Below are 18930 nucleotides of genomic sequence, written 5' to 3'. Positions count from 1 at the left end.
TTTGAAAACAAACACATCTTTTACCAAATTTGAAACCTCATTAATCTATTAATTTCCTATGTCTTTCATTAGACCATCTTCTTCCTCCCACATCATATAGCACAAATTATCCTGGCCTTCTTTGTCTTTTTTTAATGAATCCTGAATCTGTTGAAATTCTATTCTAAAAGTCGGACTTATTTCTAAATAGATGTTCTAGAAATACCTTCAATTTAGTACGTCTAAAGACTGCCTTTCTTACTTTCTCTTTCAATTCTCTACTTACTCCTCTATTCTATTTTTCTCTTGCTCTCTTTTTATGCTTTTGCTAGCTACTAAGTTCCACCAAATAAAGAATCTTCAAGTCATCATTTATTTTTTTCCTTTCCTGAATTATCACATAGCCTCTATTTTGTTTACTGTTAGAGGCAAGCCTTGCCAACTCTACCTTCTAAGTGTTTCACTCAACTGTCATCTCCCTTCTATCCTATAGTTACTATTAAAATTATTGTATCGTATCCTTATGACAGTATATACAAAGTCTTGAATTTTTATGGTATTGTACCTGAATTCTGTCCCTCTAATCTTTACCAACATTCTCCCTTCCCCTCCTCCTACCCTGCTCCAGTGAGATCTATTTAAAACACAATCTGCCTATGCCATTCCTATGTTTTCTCATTATCCATAAGACAATTTCCAGCTCTTTAACATGATACATATCCCCTTCATATTCTTCGACATCATTATTAGTTTTTTACTTCAGCAATACCAAATGACTTGTAGTTTCCCAAACATTATGTTGTTTCTTATTTTCTTGCAGTTAATTGTTACTTAGCATTTTCTAGGTATCATAAATCATATAAGGGAATTTATAAACTTGAGTTAAACAACCAAATGTGGTAGAAATGATTATAATATGCATTTTGCAGATGAGAAGTAACTTGTCCAAGATTATACATTGAGAAATTGGAAAGTAATAATGTTTGAACTGAGGTGCCTGGCTCTAGAACTCATATGATTAACCATTCCACATTGGGCGTCTATAAATTCCATCCTGCAACCCCATATGCTGTCTAAAGTGCCTCTCCTTCAGCTCCTTTGCCTGGACAAACTCAAATTCTACTTAATCATCAACATTAATGCAGTTTACTTCTATCAGGTTTTCTTTCACTATCCCCTACCTCACCCATTTGTACTATCTCTTCTGGAAACAACATAGGATTCTGTGAACAACATTGTTACAGCATTTTCTATACTGCATTATAAATTTTTACTTTTGGTTCACTCTCCAAATTCTTGAGACTCTGTAACCAATGTTGAATCATGGGTTCAATGATCATGTAGAAAAAAAATTATATAGTCTCTTGTGAATTCTCATAAATGAGGCCAGTAAAATATTTTTGTGGATGAGGGTTAGTACTGAAGAAGCAGAGAAAAGTCCATTTTTGTACATGCATAGCCTGAGATAATGGCAGGATAGTCCATTATTCTCTTTTCTGTTATGGTCTAGATATTAAATAAAATTGTTTTCATAATGAAAAATTCACAAGAATATCTATATTGTGTTTTAAAACATGAAATTAAAAGAACTGTTATAGAAATTGCTAAGGGAAATTACAATGAGAGTATCTATGTTTCTGCAAATCAAAATAAAATTTTTAAAAACTACCAAACTATATTTTTAAGATGAATTATGAGTTTGAATCAAAATTGTTAAAATTAAATATGTTTTTGAAGGAAGAAGATAATATGAAAGGAATAAATAAATTCCATCCATATCATTAATGAATTAAGACTAATTCTATCACCATGCTAAATTTAACTATAAAAATTCTGGTATAAATAAAACTAAAACACATTATTGAATATTACTTTTCACTTTTGGTGTTAGAAAAATTCACCAGTGAATCATACTTGTCTTTCCTATTCTAATTAATTTCTTCAAATAGAGTCTGTAGCAACACATATTAATAGAATAAACAACAGAGAAAATAGGAAGATAAATGTTTTCATACTTTGAAGATAAAGAGGAAAAATAAGAGATTATATGAAATAGGTATGAACCAGTTCAATTAAAATATTAGAAGGCAGAGTAAAAAGATGTTGAAGGTAGAAAGTGATTTAATCTCTGCATCTTCCCCTTGTTAATGTGACCAAAGGCAATTTAACAATAAATAAACCTGCCTCAGTTGCCTTATTTGTTAAATATACTTCCTTGACTGATTTGTTGTGATGACTGCATCACATGATATGTAGTGCCTGACCAGTGCCTGGAATACAGACAGACCATAATGATCCTCTATACTGGGGAAATAAATCAGAGAAATTTTATTATATGATTCTAATTTGTCAAAAGATACATAAACAGATTTATCATTAATTATATTAAATTCACTTTGCTGTATTTTGCTTTCTTTGGTGAAAGTGTGCCCTTCAGAAAAACCAAGAAAATAACAATCAAAAGAATTTACTTAGATATTAAGTTAAAATAAGAAATTATAAATATGACATAATATCACAAATCAGTAAAAGTGGCTTAATGTAATTCTAACTGTGTGGTTCAAATGCAGCCCATCAGTGTCCTGTCTCCTCTCTGCCATGGATTCTGGCTACAGCCCACATCAATGGGTGACCTGTTAATTAACAAACACTTGCCATGTGGAACGTGCTTGACTCTTCCATCTGTGGTGGCATAATCTTTCAAACCATACACAAATGCTATTATTTTTGAAGGGTAACTAGTCTTTCTCAAAAATAATAAACCTTCCTAAATAATGTGTCCCAATGAGGGAAGGAGAGGGATTGCTTCCAAGATTTGGCAATTTGGACATTTTCCCAACATAGTGTAATAGGATTTTCCAAATATGGATGATTACAACCTCTCATCCAGATAATCATTTTCCTTTTGTGATCCTGGTCCTGATTCTGATGTAAGAAATTAGCTTCAGCCATGGGGAGGTCTGGTGATTCAAGCATTGTTTACCAGTAGTTAAATTTTCCTAAAGCCATTTAACTCATAACAGAAAAGATTATCATTAAATTGGGACAGGCTTTTTTAAGCACACATCTGGAATTATCAGGAAACAATGCTTAGTCCTGACTCTACAGGTTTGAAATAAAACAATTAATTGTGTTCCTTAATCTGTGCCAGCTACTCTATTAACCACTGACAATGATATCACTTAATCCTCACAATATTCCCATAATGTATCTATTATCATGACTTCTATTTTACAAATGAGGAAGGTGCTGAGGTTAATGGTGAAGCTGTGACTCAAATCCGGGCAGTTTGATGCTCACACAGATGAACCTCTAAACTACCACACAATGGTGCTTTTCTTTCTGGATCAAAACTCTCACTTTTGGAGATGATTTATTGTTTTCTGAATAATTTTAAATGCCTCTGTTCTTTTAGCAGAAATGTACCTCTACATGTAGAACCTTGTAACCAAGTCACATGCATTGCATGGAAAACATTCTCTAAGTAAGACATCAGCAACACCTCTCCTCACACTGCAATTGAACTACATTTTAATAATCTCAGTTTAAATTCATTTTGACAAAGAGCCTTGGGCAAATAAACTCTTCACTAACATTGTACATGGTTGTCAAGTCAACTGAAAAAATATTTTTATCTTATAAAACTTCTCAGCTTGTTTAAAAATCTTTGCCAGGAAGTTTTGTGATATCCTGCGGAAAGCTGGAGAAGCATTTGGATTTTGAAGATGGTCCCTTTTGATGTTCAAAGAATTAGGGAGGAGAAGCCTTATGAATTCACTCATTTTTTTGGATAATTTGGAAAGGATCTGATTTGTAAACAGTAATATTTTAAAAGAGTAGGCTTTTTATGCTGAATACATTAAGCATTTTATGACATAATATTTCCCACTAAAGCCATATATTATGTGGAAACATTAATAAAAGAAAGAAACAAACTATTACAATGTCTTACTGGAAGTAGATTATATTTATACAAAATGACATTTAATTACATATTTCTTAGAATTCAGTGGTATATCTAAGTCTATATAATTTCACTATTGTGTGTTCATGGAGAAAAAATTCAGACATTCAGATATACAATATATTTTTGTATCATATTTCCTTTTATATTTTAAGTCATTTCAATTTGCACAAACAATGAAACCTACTTTTACTGGCAAGTCAAAAGGCTATATAAAAGCAAGGTAAAAAATTAGAGGTTAAAAGAAGAAAAGTAGAGGTACAAAAAGAGATTCCTTTTGACGTTGTCGTGCATTATATTACAGGTTTATCTAACAATGCACATACACTTGTTGAGAACCCACTACTGTGCTGAACTGTAGTCAAAAAGATAAGTAAGACTCAGTTCCTACATTCAAAGAGTGTATTATCTACTGGGATTGGAACACTATCCCTTGCTCTTGGATAGCCAATGGATGCCTGGATCCTGTTAGTCCTATATTCCTTAAACCTCTACTACTTACTTATCTGCCCCTTTTCAATTCTATTGCTATCAACCAAAATTGGTGCTGATTCTTTTTACTTCTAGATTATTGTACTGTCTGCCTGATTGTCCTCCTGCTCTTTAACTCTTTGCCTCTTAAACCATGCTTTAATGGTGCTAGTTCTTATGAGTGTATTAATATAAAAAAGCTAGTTTCCTATGCAAAAACTTTTCATTTGCCCTGGCAAACAGAGATTCTAAAAATGTTAATAATGAACCACTTGCATCAGAATCATAGGGCATGAGGACATTAGAGTAGTTAAAATGCAGATTCATGGGCCTGCCCCCAACGAATTAAAATAGAATATTTAGAGGTAAGGTCTAAGAAATGGCATTTTGATACATTTTTAGATGATTCTTATTTACTTAAAATTCTGGAAAGCAATGATCTACAGGATGAAATCCACTCTTTATCTCATTATTCAAAATATCTGTAAACTGATATCAATCTGATTTTCATAGTTAATTCCAGCCTAACCTTTTGTATAGTTCCTTTCCATTAGAATACCTTCCATTCTTTTGGCTTAGGGTTGTCTTGGCAATGTGGGCTCTTTTTTGGTTCCATATGAACTTTAAAGTAGTTTTTTCCAATTCTGTGAAGAAAGTCATTGGTAGCTTGATGGGGATGGCATTGAATCTATAAATTACCTTGGGCAGTATGGCCATTTTCACGATACTGATTCTTCCTATCCATGAGCATGGAATGTTCTTCCATTTGTTTGTATCCTCTTTTATTTTGCTGAGCAGTGGTTTGTAGTTCTCCTTGAAGAGGTCCTTCACGTCCCTTGTAAGTTGGATTCCTAGGTATTTCATTCTCGTTGAATCAATTGTGAATGGGAGTTCACTCATGATTTGGCTCTCTGTTTGTCTGTTATTGGTGTATAAGAATGCTTGTGATTTTTGCACATTGCTTTTGTATCCTGAGACTTGGCTGAAGTTGCTTATCAGCTTAAGGAGATTTTGGGCTGAGACAATGGGGTTTTCTAGATATACAATCATGTCGTCTGCAAACAGGGACAATTTGACTTCCTCTTTTCCTAATTGAATACCCTTTATTTCTTTCTCCTGCCTGATTGCCCTGGCCAGAACTTCCAACACTAGATTGAATAGGAGTGGTGAGAGAGTACATCCCTGTCTTGTGCCAGTTTTCAAAGGGAATGCTTCCAGTTTTTGCCCATTCAGTATGATATTGGCTGTGGGTTTGTCATAAATATCTCTTATTATTTTGAGATACGTCCCATCAAGACCTAATTTATTGAGAGTTTTTAGCATGAAGGACTGTTGAATTTTGTCACAGGCCTTTTCTGCATCTATTGAGATAATCATGTGGTTTTTGTCTTTGGTTCTGTTTATATGCTGGATTACGTTTATTGATTTTCGTATGTTGAACCAGCCTTGCATCCCAGGGATGAAGCCCACTTGATCATGGTGGATAAGCTTTTTGATGTGCTGCTGCATTCAGTTTGCCAGTATTTTATTGAAGATTTTTGCTCTGATGTTCATCAGGGATATTGGTCTAAAATTCTCTTTTTTTGTGTGTCTCTGCCAGGCTTTGGTATTATGATGATGCTGGCCTCATAAAATGAGTTAGGGAGGATTCCCTCTTTTTCTATTGATTGGAATAGTTTCAGAAGGAATGGTACCAGCTCCTCCTTGTACCTCTGGTAGAATTCTGCTGTGAATCCGTCTGGTCTTGGACTTTTTTTGGTTGGTAGGCTATTAATTATTGCTTCAATTTCAGAGCCTGTTATTGGTCTATTCAGAGATTCAACTTCTTCCTGGTTTAGTCTTGAGAGGGTGTATGTGTCCAGGAATTTATTCATTTCTTCTAGATGTTCTAGTTTATTTGTGTAGAGGTGTTTATAGTATTCTCTGATGGTAGTTTGTATTTCTGTGGGATCGATGGTGATATCCCCTTTATCATTTTTTATTGGGTCTATTTGATTCTTCTCTCTTTTCTTCTTTATTAGTCTCGCTAGCAGTCTATCAATTTTGTTGATCTTTTCAAAAAACCAGCTCCTGGATTCACTGATTTTTTGAAGGGTTTTTTGTATCCCTATTTCCTTCAGTTCTGCTCTGATCTTAGTGATTTCTTGCCTTCTGCTAGCTTTTGAATGTGTTTGCTCTTGCTTCACTAATTCTTTTAATTGTGATGTTAGGGTGTCAATTTTAGATCTTTCCTGCTTTCTCTTGTGGGTATTTAGTGCTATAAATTTCCCTTTACACACTGCTTTAAATGTGTCCCAGAGATTCTGGTATGTTGTGTCTTTGTTCTCGTTGGTTTCAAAGAACATCTTTATTTCTGCCTTCATTTCGTTATGTACCCAGTAGTCATTCAGGAACAGGTTGTTCAGTTTCCATTTAGTTAAGTGGTTTTGAGTGAGTTTCTTAATCCTGAGTTCTAGTTTGATTGCACTGTGGTCTGAGAGACAGTTTGTTATAATTTCTGTTCTTTTACATTTGCTGAAGAGTGCTTTACTTCCAAATATGTGGTCAATTTTGGCATAAGTGTGATGTGGTGCTGAGAAGAATGTATATTCTGTGATTTGGGGTGGAGAGTTCTGTAGATGTCTATTAGGTCCACTTGTGCAGCACTGAGGTCAATTCCTGGATATCCTTGTTAACTTTCTGTCTCGTTGATCTGTCTAATGTTGACAGTGGGGTGTTAAAGTCTCCCATTATTATTGTGTGGGAGTCTAAGTCTCTTTGTAGGTCTCTAAGGACTTGTTTTATGAATCCGGGTGCTCCTGCATTGGGTGCATATATATTTAGGATAGTTAGCTCTTCTTTTTCAATTGATCCCTTTACCATTATGTAATGCCTTCTTTGTCTCTTTTGATCTTTGTTGGTTTAAAGTCTGTTTTATCAGAGACTAGGATTGCAACCCCTGCCTTTTTTGTTTTCCATTTTGCTTTGTAGATCTCCTCCATCCCTTTATTTTGAGCCTATGTGTGTCTCTGCACATGAGATGGGTTTCCTGAATACAGCACACTGATGGGTCTTGACTCTTTATCCAATTTGCCAGTCTGTGTCTTTTAATTGGAGCATTTAGCCCATTTACATTAAAGGTTAGTATCGTTATGTGTGAATTTGATCCTGTCATTATGATGTTAGCTGGTTATTTTGCTCTTTAGTTGATGCAGTTTCTTCCTAGCATCGATGTTCTTTACAATTTGGCATGTTTTTGCAGTGGCTGGTACCAGCTGTTCCTTTCCATGTTTAGTGCTTCCTTCAGGAGCTCTTGTAGGAAGGCCTGGTGGTGACAAAATCTCTCAGCATTTGCTTGTCTTAAAGTATTTTATTTCTCCTTCACTTATGAAGCTTAGTTTGGCTGGATATGAAATTCTGGGTTGAAAATTCTTTTCTTTAAGCAACCTAAATGTCCAACAACGATAGACTGGATTAAGAAAATGTGGCACATATACACCATGGAATACTATGCAGCCATAAAAAATGATGCGTTCATGTCCTTTGTAGGGACATGGATGAAACTGGAAACCATCATTCTCAGCAAACTATCGCAAGGACAAAAAAACCAAACACCGTATGTTCTCACTCATAGGTGGGAATTGAATAATGAGAACACATGGACACAGGAAGGGGAACATCACACACCAGGGACTGTTATGGGGTGGGGGTAGGGGGGAGGGATAGCATTAGGACATATACCTAATGCTAAATGATGAGTTAATGGGTGTAGCACACCAACATGGCACATGTATACATATGTAACAAACTGCACATTGTGCACATGTACCCTAAAACTTAAAATATAATAATAATAAAATAAAATAGATTAAAAAAGATCAAAAATTAAGAATGTTGAATATTAGCCCCCACTCTCTTCTGGCTTGTAGACTTTCTGTGGAGAGAACAGCTGTGAGTTTGACGGGCTTCCCTTTGTGGGTAACCCGACCTTTCTCTCTGGCTGCCCTTAACATTTTTTCCTTCATTTCAACTTTGGTGAATTTGACAATTATGTGTCTTGGAGTTGTTCTTCTCGAGGAGTATCTTTCCAAAAGAAACACAGCTGGAGGCATCACACTACCTGACTTCAAACTAAACTACAAGGCTACAGTAACCAAAACAGCATGGTACTGGTATCAAAACAGAGATATAGACCAATGGAACAGAACAGAGCCCTCAGAAATAATACCACACATCTACAACCATCTGATCTTTGACAAATCTGACAAAAATAATAAATGAGGAAAGGATTCCCTATTTAATAAATGGTGCTGGGAAAACTGGCTAGCCATATGTAGAAAGCTGTAACTGGATCCCTTCCTTACACCTTATACAATAATTAATTCAAGATAGATTAAAGACTTAAATGTTAAACCTAAAACCATAAAAACCCGAAAAGAAAACCCAGGCAATACCATTCAGGACATAGGCATGGGCAAGGACTTCGTGTCTAAAACACCAAAAGCAATGGTAACAAAAGCCAACATTGACAAATGGGATCTAATTAAACTAAAGAGCTTCTGCACAGCAAAAGAAACTACCATCAGAGTGGACAGGCAACCTACAGAATGGGAGAAAATTTTTGCAATCTACTCATCTGACAAAGGGCTAATATCCAGAATCTACAAAGAACTCAACGAAATTTACAAGAGAAAAGCAAACGACCCCATCAACCAGTGGGTGAAGGATACGAACAGACACTTCTCAAAAGAAGACATTTATGCAGCCAACAGACGTGAAAAAATGCTCATCATCACTGGCCATCAGACAAATGCAAATCAAAACCACAATGAGATACCATCTCACACCAGTTAGAATGGCGATCATTAAAAAGTCAGGGAACAACAGGTGCTGGAGAGGATGTGGAGAAATAGGAACACTTTTACACTGTTGGTGGGACTGTAAACTAGTTCAACCATTGTGGAAGACAGTGTGGCGATTCCTCAGGGATCTAGAACTAGAAATACCATTTGACCCAGCCATTCCATTACTGGGTGTATACCCAAAGGATTATAAATCATGCTGCTATAAAGACACATGCACACGTATGTTTATTGCGGCACTATTCACAATAGCAAAGACTTGGAACCAACCCAAATGTCCAACAGTGATAGATTGGATTAAGAAAATGTGGCACATATACACCATGGAATACTATGCAGCCATAAAAAATGATGAGTTCATGTCCTTTGTGGGGACATGGGTGAAGCTGAAAACCATCATTCTCAGCAAACTATCGCAAGGACAAAAAACCAAACACCATATGTTCTCACTCATAGGTGGGAATTGAACAATGAGAACATTTGGACACAGGAAGGGGAACATCACACACTGGGGACTATTGTGGGGTGGGTAGAGGGGGGAAGGATAGCATTAGGAGATATACCCAATGTAACTGACAAGTTAATGGGTGCAGCACACCAGCATGGCACATGTATACATATGTAACAAACCTGCACATTGTGCACATGTACCCTAGAACTTAAAGTATGATAAAAAAGAATATATAAAAAAGAATACCTTCCATTCTAATCTGCGTTTACACAGACTTTCTGCCTTTAAAAAGGATTATTCAATAAATTATAGCCCATATTTATCATTATCTTTAACTTCTACACCCTTCACATATATGGTGTGTAAGACATATCAGAACTGCCTCGTATTTCTGGTTAATTTTAAATAATATATATATATATATATATAATACCACTACCTAGAATGTAAGCATTCAGAGAACAGAAGTTGTTATATTTTCTTTTTACTTCCTTTAATTATTTAGTTGAATGTCTTGTTAAATGTCTACTGATTTATCAACTAATATAGGATCATAGAAACACCAAATATGCTACAATTAGAGATGTGAAACTACTGTGGCCTCTTGCCAACACAGAGAAACTGTGACATGAAAAAGTTAATAGATGATCTACTCCAGGAAGATTGCCTGCTTTACTCTAGGACATGCATTTGCCAAGAAACATCAGAGAATTGCAAACAGAAAGCTATCTCTTCCAAGGTCATTCATTTGCTGGGTGATTTTTTTCCGTCTTCCACTAACTCACTCCAACATCCAAACCTACATTTGGAGAGAATCTGGTATGGGAGAGCTGCCACATCTATACTGGTTGAAGTCTCATTATGAAAGTTAACTTGGAAAAATTGCTTATTATTCTACGTGGTATCGTTGTCTAAATAAAATATCAAATACGAAAGCCGTGCTAGTGGTCTACAAGTCTTCATGATAAGTAAACTTCCTGTCAATCTGGTTAAAAACCTCTAAAAGGCATGAAATCACTCCAAGAAAGAACAGAAAAATGAAAGGCCAGTGAAGGCTGAAAATCTCCTTTTCACATTAAGGTATTCATAAAATAACTATAATACTACTAATTATTGTTATTATTCAGTCACTCTGTATTTTGTGCCAATCATTGTGCCATGACACTAGAGTATCACAAACCCTAACAATGAATCTTGAAATTAAAAACTATCCAAATTTTAGGAATAAAGGAAATGAATACAGACAGATTGATTTATCCAAAGCTCATTCATTAAGTAGCTGGCAGAACAATAATTCAAGCCCAAGGCTGTATGTCTAATAATGCACTTTCCCTCTCAACTATCCACATAGGTAGTTTTTAACATTTACCAAGGCATTTGTGTCAGAGGAAGATATCTGTGACATCTGCTGTAGAAAATTCTAAAGAGTACAATGGGGACAGTATATTTAGATAGCCATTACTAATTATAGTTGGTCAACAATAACTACAAAAAAATTAATTTTCAACATTTTAAGGAGCAATGTATTTCTAGAAGAGCATATTTGGTTTTTGCCTGTTATAACAATTTATTCTTATTTCATCTATTTCCCATTCTAAAAGTCTTAGGAGATGATATACTTTATATGCATTTCTTATTTAGTTCTTTTCTTCTCTTTTTTTTTTTCTTTTTTTTTTGAGACAGAGTCTTGCTGTATTGACCAGGCTGGAGTGCAGTGGTGTGATCTCAGCTCACTGCAACCTCTGCCTCCCAGGTTTGAGCAATTCTCAGGTCTCAAGCTGGCATGGTGGCCAGAATGGTCTTGAACTCCTGAACTCAAGTGATCCGCCTGACTTGGCCTCCCAAAGTGCTTGGAGTACAGGTGTGCTCCACTGTGAGCCATTATAACTGGTCTCTATTTAGTTCTTAGTGTATATCTAATCTCCTCTTAGAGCATATCCTCTCTTCTTAGAGCAGATATACTACTGCACATCAATGCAAATGAGTGCCAAATTTAATTCACTTCTGAAAAGGACTCTTCTTGGAAGCTGAGAGAGTGTAACCAAATCTATGTATGCCTCCTGGGGCATATGCTAACTTCTTTAACTATAGTCATCATGCTGTACATTAGGCCTCCAGTACTTATACATCTTGTGACTGAAGGATTGTACCCTTTGACCAGTATCTCCCCATTCCCCTCATCCTACAGCTCCTGGTAACCACCATTCTTCTGTTACTATGAGTTTGACTTTGTTTTTGTCAGATTCCACATATGAATAAGATCATGCAATATTTGTTTTTCTGTGTCTGGCTTTTTTCACTTAGCAAAATACCCTCAAGTTTCATCCACACTGTTGCAAATAGTAGAATTTCCCTCTTTTTAAAGACTTAGTAATGTTCCATTATATATATATATATATATATATACACACACACACACACACACACACACATATATATAAAATTCCAATTATATAATGAATATTCTGTTGTGTGTATATATACATATATAGTAATACATATATAATAAATATTCCATTATATATATAGAATTGTTTATATAATGGAAATATATATATGTGTGTGTATATATATATGCATACACACACACACACCACATTTTCTTTATACATCCATCTTTATACATTCATCTGTTAACAGATGCAGGTTGTTTTCATATCTTGGCAGGTATGTTTCCATACCTGTTGTGAATTAACAGAATTTCAATTAAATATTCCTATTACTACAATTGCTAGATTTGGCCCTTTCACATTCATAACTTTAGGATTTGGATGAAATAGTTGGACAGGCCTATAACCAGACTTTAAGTTAGACTCATCATAACTGAAATATAATTGAAGTATTGTATTTTCATACAGTTTATCTTAAACAGGAATTCAAAATATCACGTACCAAAAGGGAAAAATATACTGCCATTATATTTGTGTAGCAATAAAACCATATTTTCTCATAAAATCATATTACTTAGTCAAGACAATTGCATTCCTTGACCCAAACTGATTCTTCCACTCTGGGACTCAATTGCTTTATGTCCTGCACCTCAAGATGACCAACAGATGAGCATTCATACAACAAATGTTTATTCACTTGTACAACATATGTTGGAGACTTATGATGTCTAATACATTCAACTTCGTGCTGTGAAAAAAATGTATTAGACATGAATCATATTTTCACAGAGATTGCTATTCAGTTGGGAACCTATATATAGGTAAATATCAGTATAAATCAGTATATCTCAGAAATAATTCTAAGTGACAAATGATATTTAAAATAATCAGTGTAAGAGACTTAAAAGTGGAAACAGGCTGGGTGTGGTGGCTCATGCCTGTAATCCCAACACTTTGGGAGGCCACCGCGGGTGGATCACCTGAGGTCAGGAGTTCAAGACCAGCCTGGCCAACACGGTGAAACCCTGTCTCTACTAAAAATACAAAATTAGCTGGGTGGGGTGCTGAGCGCCTGTAATCCCAGCTACTCAGGAGGCTGAGGCAGAAGAATCGCTTGAACCCAGGAGATGGAGGTTGCTGTGAGCTGACATGGTGCCACTGCACTCCAGTCTGGGCAACAGAGTGAGACTCCATCTCAAAAATAAATAAATAAATAAATAAATAAATAAAGTGGAAACATATTTCCAACCAGGCTTTCAAATTTACTTTCACGAAAGTGATAACATTTGTTGTGGCCATTAACAGGTAAGTACAATTGGGATAGGTATAAATCATTAGTGCTGGAAGTTGGGATAATAAAAAAATGAATAAAGGCATGATGTTTGAAAATTACAGTTCATTTGCATTCATAAAATAGAGAAGTCCATTGTAAAGTTACAAAAATAGACTAGAGTCACTCTATAGAAGTCATGAATCTCAGGCTAAGGAATTTCAAATTCATTCATTAAGTTGTGAAAGGCAATAAAGTTTTCTGACATGAAGGTTAGGACCACAATTCAGGAAGCTGAATCTTAATGTGTGAGTAGATTAGAAAGATGAGGTAGCAAAGGAGACGACACCAGTTAAGTGGATACTGCAAGAGTCCAAGCCAGAAGGAATAACAGAAGAAAGAATAGACAGTTGAGATAGCTTTCTCGGACGAAGAATGAATAGAATTTGGCCACAGATTATGGAAGTAACTAAGGGGAGAAAGAGTTAAAGATGGCTCAGATGTCTCAACTAAAGGCCTTGTAGCAATAATGGTGCCAATAACAGAAATACAGATGTCTGAAGAAGCAGGTATATAACCTGGCCCTCCCCTCTATTCTATCCAGGCGCAATTTCCAGAGAAGTAAGTGTGTATGTAAATGTTATTGATTCCAAAGGCTTACTAGTCACAAGACGTCTGTATTCTTGGTACTCTGGCAATTCTTAAAATTTTAGCAGGTGCCCCAAATATTTATTGCCTTCAAGGAGGTAACTTTGCATATTTGTTGCCCCATTAGCCTTTTAGTTCCAAAGAAACTCCTGAATTGCCTACTTGGTGGAAAAACCATGTCTCCATGCCAAAGTTTAATTATATATATTAGACCTTTTTCTCTGGTTCAAAAATCAAAACAAAAATGAAAAATACATATGCATTTTTGGCCATATCAAAACAAGCTTGACATTTTTATAATGAAATGAAATATAAGTAATTTCCCCTAACTCATATAATTTTACCCAACTCAACATCTCTAGGAAGTAGACAGTCTAATTATCATAAAAAGTTCTCAATCAGTGGGTAAGTGGTATATGTTTAATGCAGTCTCTTTCAACTTGTACAAATGTAAAACTCTATTAGGGCTATATTGGTTATTTTCTTGACTATCTATTACAAGCATAAGTTATAAATGGCTAACATGCTGGGAATATGACAGTGAACTAAGTAGACAAGATCTCATTATATACAAACAGAAGAAAGAGACATAGGGTAGAGAGTTACATTTTGAAGTTTTATGAATAAAATTAAGGAAGGCAAAGGGGAATAAGGCCAGACAGTGGTTGTGCTTACAATTTTAAGAAATGTTATCAGAAAGGCCTCACTGAACCCTGATACGTGAGTGGAGAACTAAAGAAGAATGGGAGACAGCCATGTGGCTGCTCTGGAGAACTTTCCAGGCAGAAATCAAAGGAAAGGCCAAGTCCCCAAAGTGACTGTTAGTCTTTTATGTTTGAGTTTCAACAAAGAGGCAATGAATCTGGAGCACAGTTGGTAAGAAGGGAATGACAGGCTATAGGGAAGGAGGCTAGAACATGTAGAACTTGGTGGGCTGTGGTGTGGGCTGGGGATTTTACAGAGTGAACCAGGAAGCTCTTGGAAGGTTCTGAGTAAAGAAGCCAGGCAATTTGCTTTGTTGTAAATGAATCTCCCTGAATCTAATTTGAAAACAGGCTATAGGATGCAAAGGCTAAAAAGGAAAGATTATTTAAGAGGCTACTATAATAATCCAGATGAGAAGTGTTGGTAGCTTAGTCCAAAGAACTAGCAGGACAATTAGTGAGAAGTAATCAGATTCTGGATGTATTTTGAAGGTGGAGTCAACAGCTGATGAACTGAATGTGGACTATGAGAAACAGAGAACACTCAAAGATAATTCTTTGGCTTTTGGTTGTCCCACTAGAAGGATGGAGCTTCATTTACTGTCATAGGAAGACTTCAGGGGCAACACTTTTAGGGCTGGGGTAGTCATTTCTGCATGTGTGTACCAGAATAAAGTCTCATTTATGTGGTCTTGGGTACATTTCAAAATACAGAATATTGTTTTTATAAGAATTTACCTGATACTTTATTGAAAGTCTCATGCAATATCAAAAAAAATTCTAAACCCTTTGAATATGCATACAGCATCTGTTTTGAATCAAGTTTCACTGATAATCTATGCATAATGATACTTTACTAAGATTACTATGTTCAGTCATTCACTTATTTGATATATATCAAGAGCCTAATATCTACCAAGCAGGTTTTCTTGGTATATATTTCTTATGCACTGTCAAATGCATTAAGAATCCCATTATAAGCAAAAACAGATATGGTTCCTCACCTCTTGAAGCTTACAGCCTAATGAAGCATATATCTAACAGATGAACAAATGTGCATTTACGAAGGAGGTGGTGCCACTAAAATGCTTAATAGAGAGACTGACCCATAGAGAATGCTTTCTTTAGAACATGACTATTGAGGGGGTATATGAACTTTGAGCAGGAGGAGATAATTAAACTAAGCTTAAAAAGTCAGTATACTCCAGGTAAAGGAACAACATGTACTTAGGTCCTGCAGTGTGAAGGAACATGGTATTTTTTAAGTTCTGGGGTACATGTGCCTTTTGTTACATAGGTAAAACGTGTGCCATGGTGGTTTGCTGCACCTATCAATCCATCACCTAAGTATTAAGCCCAGCATGCATTAGCTATTTTTCCTGATGCTCTCCCTCCCCACCTCCTCCCCACCGAGCCCCAGTATGAGTTGTTCCCCTCCCTGTCTCTATGTGCTCTCACTGGAACATGGTACTTTGGAAACACTGTGGGAACTCTAGTGCTGAGAATGAAAGGGGGTGTGAAATGAAGTATGGCTGAAGAGATAAAGTGGGAACAGATAATCCCGAGCCAGCCCAGAAGTAGGTTGAGTAAAGTTAGCTAGAAGAACTCTTCCATGTTTCTCACAGAGCACTGTAATTAATAACATGGGCTTTGGATTTGGATGGACTTGGCTTTGATCATGGATTCAGGCACTTATTAGCTGTGTGAGCTTTGGCAATCATCATCTCTAAAGTAATATTATTGCCTTCCATCTTTAGGTGGGAGCAGAAGTCTTTGGCCTCAATGTGCTAAGCCAGTGCAAAATTCTGCACTTCAATAAATGTCCAGATTTAGCAAGGTCAGAAAATGGTCACGGGATTATGCTATTAATAGGTATATTAAAATTATTATTTCCCAGATAATTTAGATATTGTACAATATCTTAGACTTAGGCTAAATTTTCCTAAAACCATACACAATAATGCAAGGGTTAGTTTACTTTTGGTTGGAATCCACAACGCAAATGGAATTATTTGTAGACCTAAAGAAAAAAAGCCTACGTTGTATGTGTGTATATAAAAATATGGTATCTTTATTTATATAACAAAATAATCTAAGACACCACTAAATATTTGTACAAAAGAACAACTTTTATTATTTGCAGTGAATGGTATCATAGGATTATGTCTACATGCTTCACAAAAAGGACAAAAATATGCAAGTATAGACCACCTTTCAGGCCAAAGATAAAAATAATGGCTTTCTGGCAACTCACACGCAACTTCCTAGTGCAACACTGACTTAGACTGAACAGTGACTGTCACATCTGTTATGTGGCAGGGCTACTCAGAGTGTGATCTGTGCACTCGCTGCCATTTGATGAACTCTTTTTATTACTGATTTGTATCCAGATAAGTAGCTGGTGCCGGAATGTAAATCAGCTACATCACTAAGCACACAGTTTACTTCAGCTTTTTTTTTTCACGTCAAGACTCTTTCAATGAGGGAAGCAGTGTCCTATATTCTGGCATAGATCCCTATCTCATCACAGACCACACTTGAGTAGTAAGATCATTTACTGAGCAGTTAATGCAAAATACGAACTTAGTGGAGAGAAATTTACTATGCATAATAAAGTAAATTCTAGATGGCTTAAAGTGTTAAACAGTGAAAGACACACACACACACACACACACACACACACAGAGAATATAAGACAACAATACAAAAATGTGTTTCCCTAATTTTAGAATGAGAAAGTACTTGTAATTGCAAAAACCTACGGAAGAAATTATGAAAGTATGAAATTTGACAATTAAAAAAATCTACAAGTTATAAACATTAAAAATCAAGAATAAACCAATTATTAGAACTAGGAAAATCTTTACAATATACTTAATGAAAAGAGAATGACATTAATATTGCATAAACTGAAAAATGAATCTCTATTAGTTTATTTTCTCATCTGTAAAATGACAATCATAACAATACTTAGCTCAAGAATTTTTATGCAGTTGAATTAGATATGAATACATAGTATTTAGCAAAATACCTGCTAATAAAAGAAGACACTGTTGTTTTTATTAGAAACCCTTTGGCAACTCAATATAAAATATGGGATTTTGAAAGTTTAAAAATATTGTGTAAGGCCGGGTGCGAAGTGCTGTAATCCCAGCACGTTGGGAGGCTGAGGCGGGCGGATCACCTGAGGTCGGGAGTTCACGACCAGCCCGACCAACACGGAGAAACCTATCTTTACTAAAAATACAAAATTAGCCGGGTGTGGTGGCACATGCCTGTAATCCCAGCTACTTGGGAGGCTGAGGCAGGAGAATCACTTGAACCCAGGAGGCAGAGGTTGCGGTGAGCCAAGATCGTGCCATTGCACTCCAGCCTGGGCAACAAGAGTGAAACTCCGTCTCAAAAAAAATAAAATAAAATTGTGTAATTTTGCAGTAAAGAGTTCACAAGTTTGAGTGGTCTAAAATCTGCACATTCCAAAGAACTATTTAGTCCTTGCCTGACTCCTTGGAAGTAACCTCTAAGTCCTTGGGATATCCCTCCAAAGTATCTTTGACAAGAATATCTTTGTTTAGCTGGAGGCCTTCTACCAGGATGGTTTTTGCTAACAATGTGATTTATGGTTGGGGACTAGGGCCAGGTTAACCTCAGGAGGGAATGGAGACTTGAAGGTTTGCCTTGTGGGGAGTCAACCAAGCCTACATGATCAAACGCCAGTAAAATCCCTGGATATCAAGCCTCATATAGCTTCTCGGGTTGCCAATACTTTGTGCATGATTTCACACATTGTTGTTGGGAGAATTAAGCACTGTCTGCACAACTCCATTGGGACAGAACAACTGGAAGCTTGAGCCTGGTGTCTCCTGGACTCTGGCCTATGTGACTTTTTCCTTTGATGCTTTTAATCTATATCCTTCCATGCTAATAAACTGTAACCATGAGCAAAACCACTTTGCTGAGTTTTCTGAGTTATGCTAGCAAATCAACTCAGATTAGTCTTAGGGCCTCTTCCCTCAAAGCACAGCAATCTAATAACAATTAATATATTAATAAGTTTTGGCCTAAAATGAAAGTAAAATCCCTTACTTTAACAACCTGTTGTTCATAAAGATCATATAAAATATAGTGGACATAATAAATATGTGCATATATATGAATTCAATAAAACATCAAATTCATGAAAAACTAAGTATTTTCATTCACAAAAATAAA

At 35.9% G+C, this 18930-nt stretch overlaps 1 protein-coding gene across 12 annotated transcripts in view; it reads right to left on the bottom strand.

The window, feature by feature from the left end:
- Nucleotides 1-18930, bottom strand: part of ADAMTS19 (ADAM metallopeptidase with thrombospondin type 1 motif 19) — a 278386-nt gene that overhangs the window by 118455 nt on the left and 141001 nt on the right. The gene's annotated exons all lie outside the window — the stretch shown is intronic.

The sequence above is a fragment of the Homo sapiens genome, chromosome 5, assembly GCF_000001405.40.
Source record: "Homo sapiens chromosome 5, GRCh38.p14 Primary Assembly".
Lineage (NCBI taxonomy): Eukaryota > Metazoa > Chordata > Mammalia > Primates > Hominidae > Homo > Homo sapiens.
Note: the sequence above shows the minus strand (reverse complement) of the source record. Positions and strands in the feature narration are given on the sequence as shown.